The sequence below is a fragment of the Homo sapiens genome, chromosome 3 (assembly GCF_000001405.40).
Source record: "Homo sapiens chromosome 3, GRCh38.p14 Primary Assembly".
NCBI lineage: Eukaryota > Metazoa > Chordata > Mammalia > Primates > Hominidae > Homo > Homo sapiens.
The window spans coordinates 46,628,282-46,636,053 of NC_000003.12; the positions used below are offsets into that span (position 1 = coordinate 46,628,282).

General features: G+C 47.3%; 2 annotated features.

Moving 5' to 3' along the window:
* Positions 1,348–2,096: an enhancer, noted in NCBI's record as "H3K27ac-H3K4me1 hESC enhancer chr3:46671119-46671867 (GRCh37/hg19 assembly coordinates)". NCBI's record gives its function as "activates a minimal SCP1, AML or CMV promoter by ChIP-STARR-seq in naive H9 embryonic stem cells {active_cell/tissue: H9 hESC(naive)}" and the evidence as "EXISTENCE:reporter gene assay evidence [ECO:0000049][PMID:30033119]".
* Positions 1,785–1,834: a silencer, noted in NCBI's record as "silent region_14290". NCBI's record gives its function as "represses an Ori minimal core promoter by ATAC-STARR-seq in GM12878 lymphoblastoid cells {active_cell/tissue: GM12878}" and the evidence as "EXISTENCE:reporter gene assay evidence [ECO:0000049][PMID:35858748]".

The following is a 7,772-nucleotide window of genomic DNA, read 5'->3' on the forward strand; positions in this document are numbered from 1 at the left end:
TGGTTACAAATGTTTTAGGTGCTTTTCTGTAAAGTACCTAAATACAAATAGAATGAAATTACTCGATTAGGACTGACATATAAAGTTAAATTTTCATATTCACTGATATGGATGAAACTCATCATTTTTAAGGCTCCAGTGGTTCTGTTCTAGGAACATATGTTTCTGTGGAACCTGGTAGATGCGTAACATAGGATTGATCTGTTCACAGTCTCAAAATAGCCTTGGAGGTTGACCCAGGCCTTGAAGCCCTGCTCTCAGGCCACTCTGCACCATTGGCTCGGTGACCTCCCAGAGATCTGAATAGGCCTAGTTGCTGCTCCTTGGAAACCTTGACTCCCCACAGATGAGCAGAAGCTGCTTCCTTTTCCCTAATCTATGGAAGGGTCACCAGGATAAAGCCCCTAGCGGGTGTGGAAGCCAGCTTTGGGAGAACCTAAGAAGTGCAATGGGAGCAGCTGTGAAAGGAAGATTGTGACTATACAGTCAAGCTGTGAGGCCAGGAAGACCCGGGACCCCCTCAGGGCTCTCAGAGGCTGAATATGAGGGCAGAAATCTCAGCTGCTTTGGCAGCAGAACAGCCGTGGGGACAGGAACACTCATATATTAATGAGACGCAAATTATCTTTCGGGTGCTTGTAGCACAAGCACATAGTCTTATAAGAAACACTTGAATAACAACTCCATTCAAAGCAGGGCTAGGCAGACTGAATAGATCAGCTCGGGGCTTATTTCCTCCCTCATTTAGCAGAGAGCTGGCTTAGCTTTCTGAATTGCTCAACGTAAAACACACTGAGACTAGCTGCTAAGCTTCAGAGGCTTCTCTCCACACAAGGCCACTTCCTGACCGGGAAGCTTCCAGTGTTTTCTAATTGCCCAGATGTTGCCATTTGGCCTATAGAGTGAAGGGCTTTACAGGGCGTGGTGCTTCTGGAGCTTTTCCACCCTGCGCCCAGCACAGCTGTGCCAGCCCAGGCCCAACTCCGGGCTGTGTGCTCTGCTGCTTCTCTGCCTGCAGTTTCCCCACAACAAACATAATTTTGTCTTTCTATCGAGCGATGGCTTTAGTGACGGGTGTCCCATGACCATGTTCTCAACAGCGGCTTCATTCAGGCCCTCCCTAGACCCAGAAGGCTGTCTTGGAGGACAGCTCCCAAGTATCCACGGAACTTGAGGCAAGAAGAGGGAAAGATACAAAAAAGGCAGAGAACAAAACTGAGGAAAGTAACACCCGCAGAGGGAGAGAAAATACAGCTTTCTGGAAAGACTGTTGCACGGGGTTTAGAAAAATTCATTCTTGATCATGGCTGTTTTGGCCAGGGGCCAGTCAGGAAAAAAAAAAAAAAAAGCCAGGAGGAGGAAGAGGAGAATGAGGATGACGAGGAGAGGGGGAAGAGGAGGGGGTAAGAGGAGCAGGGAGAGGAGGAGAATGGAGGAGGAGGAGGGGACGAGGAGGAAGAGGGGAAGAGGAAGAGGAGGGGGAGGAGGAGGAGAAAGAGGAGGAGGAGAGAAGGAAGAGAGGAGGAGGAGGGGAAGAGGCGGGGAGGCAGCCCCTGCCCACTCGAGGTGGTTCGTCAGAGTCGCTGTTGCATAGATCTGGTTACTAAGGTACTGGAATAGCTGAGACACCAAACAGGAAACAGCAGGCAACCCAGGACTCCTCAGCACCAAGTTGCTGCTCAAATCCCTAGCACTGCAGGGACAAAGGAGAGTCGCCTGGTGGGAACTGGAACCACATGGAGAAGTATCCCCAGGAAGCTCTGGGCCTGCGGAGGGAGGCGGTGCGGGCGACGCTGAAACCCAGCAGCTGCGCCGCCTGAGGCGGAGGTGAGAAGCGCCCTGGCTGGGCCTCCCTCCGGCGCCTCCCAGTGGCCGCAAGCTGGTCGGCGGCAGGTGCTGCGCAGTCAGCAGGACCCCGCGATGCGAACGAGAATGATGGGCATAAGGACTCCTCTCCATTTGCTGTGACATGTCAGGACAGGCCTTTCTTTCCGAGTTTCCCTTCTGAGATGGAAAGCGGTCTTTAGGCGTTTGTCCAGATCTGAATTTCTATGAGACAAGCATGAACTCTATCAGGAGACGTTGTGGTGGAACCACACCTGGTCATGGGCCTGGTGGGTGTGTCCTTCAAGAATGGGGTCTTCGGCCGGGTGCAGTGGTTCACGCCTGTAATCACAACACTTTAGGGGGCCGAGGTGGGCAGATCACCTGAGGTCAGTAGTTCGAGACCAGTCTTGCAAACGTGGTGAAACCCCATCTCTACTAAAAACACAAAAACTAACCAGGCGTGGTGGTGGGCGCCTGTAATCCCAGAGACCTACTCGACAGGCTGAGGCAGGAGAATCGTTTGAACCCTGGAGGCGGAGGTTGCTGTGAGCCGAGACTGCGCCACTGCACTCCAGCCTGGCGACACAGCAAGACTCCGTCTCAAAAAAAAAAAAAAGAATGGGGTCCTCATGCTAATATTGACCCGGGAGGAGCTAAAGTCTCTCCCACCACAGAGGTGGCCCTAAATCTAGGCAGAGTCTGGGAATGACAGAGTGGAGGTGTGATATGTCACCTGACATTCTGTTTCATGATGACAGGTACCGCATTCCACACTGACTCTTGTACCCCACGCAGGGTTGTGGCCTGGCTATTCTGGGTGTGTGGCTCCTGAGACAACGGTTGTGCTGCAGGTCCTTTCAGTGTAGCTTTCTCAGGAAAAAGTATTTAGGGCATGAGGTGAACCAATGGGAAAGGCAGACATTTTACTTGTTTTCCAAATACATTTATCAAGCATTATCAAGTCTGAGATTTTACCCTGCTTACAAGTTAACACACTAGCCTGCCATCGTTTCATGGATGTGGCAGGAGGCGTGAGGCTCCTGGATCAGGGACAGGATGGTTTAGCACTGACAGCAATAGCAGTAGTCAGGGTATCGGCACCTGCACCCATTCCTCAAACCTCAGTTCCCACTGAAAACATGAGGAGGACAGGTGAAGAGCCCTGAGGTTAGGAAACTCAAATCTTGAATAAGGGGTAGTAAGCTTGCCTGACCTTTGCCCTGGTGGAAAACACTATCCCTACCTTCAAATTCTGGAAGAAAACCTGCCCTCTCCCATATTGAGATTCCATACCTGTCAAGGCTGCTTATCATACAAACATCCTTGGAAAGGTAGCCTGGAGCACAGGCAGCCAGTGCTTCTGCTCAGAAGATGTGCAGGAATTCTAGAGACCCAGGAAAAATGCCTCCCAACAACATCCACCCCTTATTTCTATACTGTCTTGGCTTCTGGTGAATTTCCCCAGAGGAGACTATTTATCTGACTGACAGAAGCTGGGACCAAATTCATTTAGTGTGTCTCATACAGCATTGAATTGAGTCAACTATGAAAGGACTTCAAACAGCAAGATGAAGCCAACCTGCAGTACTGACCACAGCCATGCCTCCAAGGGTCCTTGATCCAAATAGCAGAACAAATCACATAAACTCTCAGGGCCTACTTTAGAAAGGCATGTGACTTGAGTTTCTGTATCGACTGTTCCTCTTGTCCAGAGGCCTTAATTAATCCAGGAATGGCGGCATGTACTAGTGATTGCACAGACTCCATGTTGGCCTGCACGGAGGAAGTCTAGAGAGATTCCATTATCCGTAATAACCCTGAACCAGTGAGCTGAGGCTGCCCTGAATGTCTTCCATTGCCAAGGTGGTGATCACTTCAGCTAAAACCAGGGACAAATTTCATACCATTAATTATGTGGCTTCCATTATAAGGGAAAATATCCTGAGAGTATATATGCATAGTGAGTCCGAGTAACTGAATTACTCATTTTGGAGCAATTTTAGAAGTTGTCTGAGGGCCACATGATCCACTGGCGGTATTTCCTTAAGCACTCAGAGGTCCCTCGTGGCCAATCCTAAGGTACAAGTCACCTAGAGGCCTGATAGGATGGAGAGTTGGATGTCTGCATCCAACAAAACCATGAAAGATGAAGTCCTTCCCTTCTCTGAATTTCCCCAGCATACTTGGATGGGTGTGTGCACCCATCTTGGGGAAAAGGAGACCTCCACCCCACCCCTAACAAACTTTCTCCTTAAAGGAGCTGAGGTTAAAGTAGAGGGGAACAGAGGGATGGATTTTCTAAGCATGGTGTGAAAGGGTGAAACTCTAAAGAAAAATATTGAGAGATCTGACATTATGATGATTTTTGAATATCCCAACTTGTGAATACCAAAAATGAAATAGATTTAAATTTAAAAGCAAGTAGAAAGTCATACGAAAAGTTTGAAATATTTTAATATATCCCTTTTTATATCATATAATAAACTTAATAGACTATGCTTGTACCAATCAATAAAACAATAATCAACAATCTAATATGTAAAGAAGCAATAGCTATAAATCTGCAAATTCACAACAATGGAGATATCATGAGTAATAAAATAGTACATTGTAATATTTGTGAATTATAAAAAGGCACAATAAGAGAATTTGAATTTTTAAAAACAAAACTGGCAAAGATTTTTAGAGATCATTGAACCTATATATTTTTTACTATATTAGATAGTTGTTCAATGAGTATCCACTTTCTCACTCTCTATCTCCGTGGGAGGCTGGGCTTGGCCCCATGACCTGTTTTAGCAAACAGAGCATGAGCAACAGTAACTGGCCAGTTCTGAGCAGAGGCCTCTCTGCTCAGAGACATTGTGAAATTCTTCTTGCCCTTCTGGAAGCTTCTGACCTCTGTGACAGAAACACATGCTCCAGGGAGCTGCCCCTCTCCAGCCTTGGCTGCAGAGAGTGGCATTGCAGTGCAGATCTGAACTCAGCCTGCAGCCTAAAGCAAGCCACCCTAGCAGACTCAGGGCCCCACAGCCTGAGGCAGAGCTACCCAACCAACCCTTGAACACTGGAGTGAGGAAAAAAGTTTATTGTATATGCCATTGAGATTTGGGGGTCAGGGTTTATTCTGCAACAAAAGGCTGACTTAAGACACAAATTGGTACCTAGAAGTGAGTATTCTATAACACAGGCCTAAGACAGGTAGCAGTAGTTTAGGTATCAAACAGTACAACAAAACATAATAGGCTGATAAACGTGATAAAACGGTTACAGAAAGCTAGAAAAAAGCGGCCAGTGTTATTGTCATGAAAAGACAAAACTCCGTTCAGTTGTTGTCTGTGATAACCTGGAAGACTGAACATGTCTTTTGTGTTCACGGCTCTATGCCTGGCATCAGACTTTGCTCAAAGCAGATATTCAAACACCAAGGGAATGGCTCAAATATTTTGGGCTAAGATGAGCATAGGAAAGAGGTTGAAGGTCTATTAGAGGAAAATAACTCGATTTCCCTATCCACCTTAGTGGTGGTGTATGGACTTTTAAATATCCATCTCCGGCTGGGCATGGTGGCTCATGCCTGTAATCCCAGCACTTTGGGAGGCCAAGGCGGGTGTATCACTTGAGGTCAGGAGATCAAGACTCTTTACTAAAAATACAAAAATTAGCCATCTCCTGAATGGTTAATGCCAGCCACTTGATCAGGCTTGACTCATGGCTGATGCTGCTGAAACGTGTAACAGGAAGCCCTGCAGGGCTCCCGAGGGCATGGTCAGGACTGCCTGGGATATGGGGAGCATGAGGGCAGCTTGACCAGAACGCAGGGCTTGCCTCAAGGGGGTGGTGATGGGAGCTCTCCGCTGACCCTGGAACTAGGACTAGAAGTTTCTAGCCATGGCCCCTCACACAGGCTTCATAGGTGCTCAGTTGCCAACTTATTTCATGTGGTTCCTCATTTCACATACCATTGGAGGAAGGGTGCCATCTCGGGCTATTTCTGAATATTGCTGCTCGTAGAACTTGCTGAAAATCAAGGTCCTTGGGGGTACAACGAGTTGATTTTCAAACTTATGTTAAGTTGGTGTTTGTACCCAGGCACAGCCCAGGGCTGCAAAGCCCAGGGCAAAAACAGCCCCCTTGGTTTCCCATGAGTTTCAGCAGAAAAGAGGGAAGAAAGGGAGGCCAGAAGCCTCCCATGTCCATAACAGAAGCTTCACGGGACATCTTAAGGCGATAATATCTATAAATCTGTGCTCCAGCATTGCCCTGTCCTGGAATGGGCCTGATTCAAATCCCATATTGTTTCCACAGGCATTTGCAGAGAGAGTGGACCACTGACGGAACACTGCATTTGCTGGTCGCCACCCTGCTGTGCCTCAGTTACCACATATTTAGGGCATCGACTGTGTTTCTGGGAGACGATGCTCTGATGGCTTCTTTCTGTTTCTTCTCATGCAGCTTCCACCATCTGTGGAAAACAAGATCTGCTTCTTTTCCCCTGAAGCACCATGTCTGCAGGGATGGTGACCCTGTTAGCGGTGGGTTTTCCCGTTTATACAATAGATGAACTATATGGAATTGCACTGGGAGCATTTCCGAATCAGCCCGATTTAAAATATTGAGTTTGACAAGTTTTTGCCCCTTTTAAAAATGTTTATTTTCTCCCCAGTGTTGAAGGAAGTGGTTAAGGGAGATGTGAGGATTCTAATCTATGAAATTTGAATTTCTGGGCTTCCACATCAGCCACACTCACTCCGCATCTTCTGTAACCGATTTCTCTTCAAAGAAGAAACTCCTAAGTATCATTTCCTCTTCCTGCTGTTACTGCTACAGTCCCACCATCAAGAACACCCCTGCTTGGAAAGAGGCAGAGAAGCTCCAATGACCTCCCACTGTCCCTGCCCAACCCCACTGCCCTTGCCCTCCGTCTGCAAAGAGGAAAAGGCCCAACCCATGGCCCTCAGCCAAGGTCAGTGCTGAAAGGCAAGGCCAGTGCTTTACCAGCACCAGGTCCAGGACCAACTCATGCTTCCCTTCCCAGGGTGAGAAACTATTGATAAATGAACCCCAACAGGGGCCAAATATGTCTCTTCCTCAACTGAAGGAAAAGACACTTATTTATTTATTTTGGGGGGACAGGGTCTCCCTCTGTTGCCCAGGCTGGAGTGTAGTGGTGTGATCATAGCTCACTGTAACCTTGAACTCCTGGGTTTAAGCGATCCTCCCACCTCACCCTCCTGAGTACCTGGGACTACAGGCAAGAGCAATTGCACCTGGCAGACCTTTATTTTAAATATGTGAGTTTCCTGTGAAATAGCCACACTCAATGATACTGTGCCGGGGTGTGCCAGGCCTCCTAACTCTTGGGGTCAAGCCACAAATTAGCAATACTCTGAGGATCCGTTTCCAAAAATTTCACTTTGTTTACAATAGTAACTCGGGCTGCTTTTGCCCCACACTTCACCAAATTGTGTTGATCATAAATGGACTTATATAGTTACTGTACGATTTGTAGGGGGATGCAGGAGGTAGGGCTCAAAGATTTGCTCTGTTCTCTGTGAGTGCTATATAGGATCAAAGAGTGAGACGGCATTTCTGGTTAATAACAGAGCCTGAACCAAGTGTAAGTGAGACACAGTCTGCCCATTATGGTGTGTCCCCTTCAAGCAGATGCATTTTCACAGCTAAAAAGTCATTGTAACCCCAGGTGGTTTTGTATTTGAGGAATTTATGTGTGATGCCTCAGCATCCTCTTGTCTCCTCATTCCTGTATCAAATATTCCTGTTTCCTGTATTCCTGTTTCTTTACCCATCTGTCACTCACACCATCTGTATCTTATATTTTCATAACAACTTGCCATAGCTTGGAAAGGACAGGTTTTGCATGTCTGTGTACTTGTGGACATCAAGTGCTTGATTTAACGCCCTTCCCTTATGAGTGCAGCAGG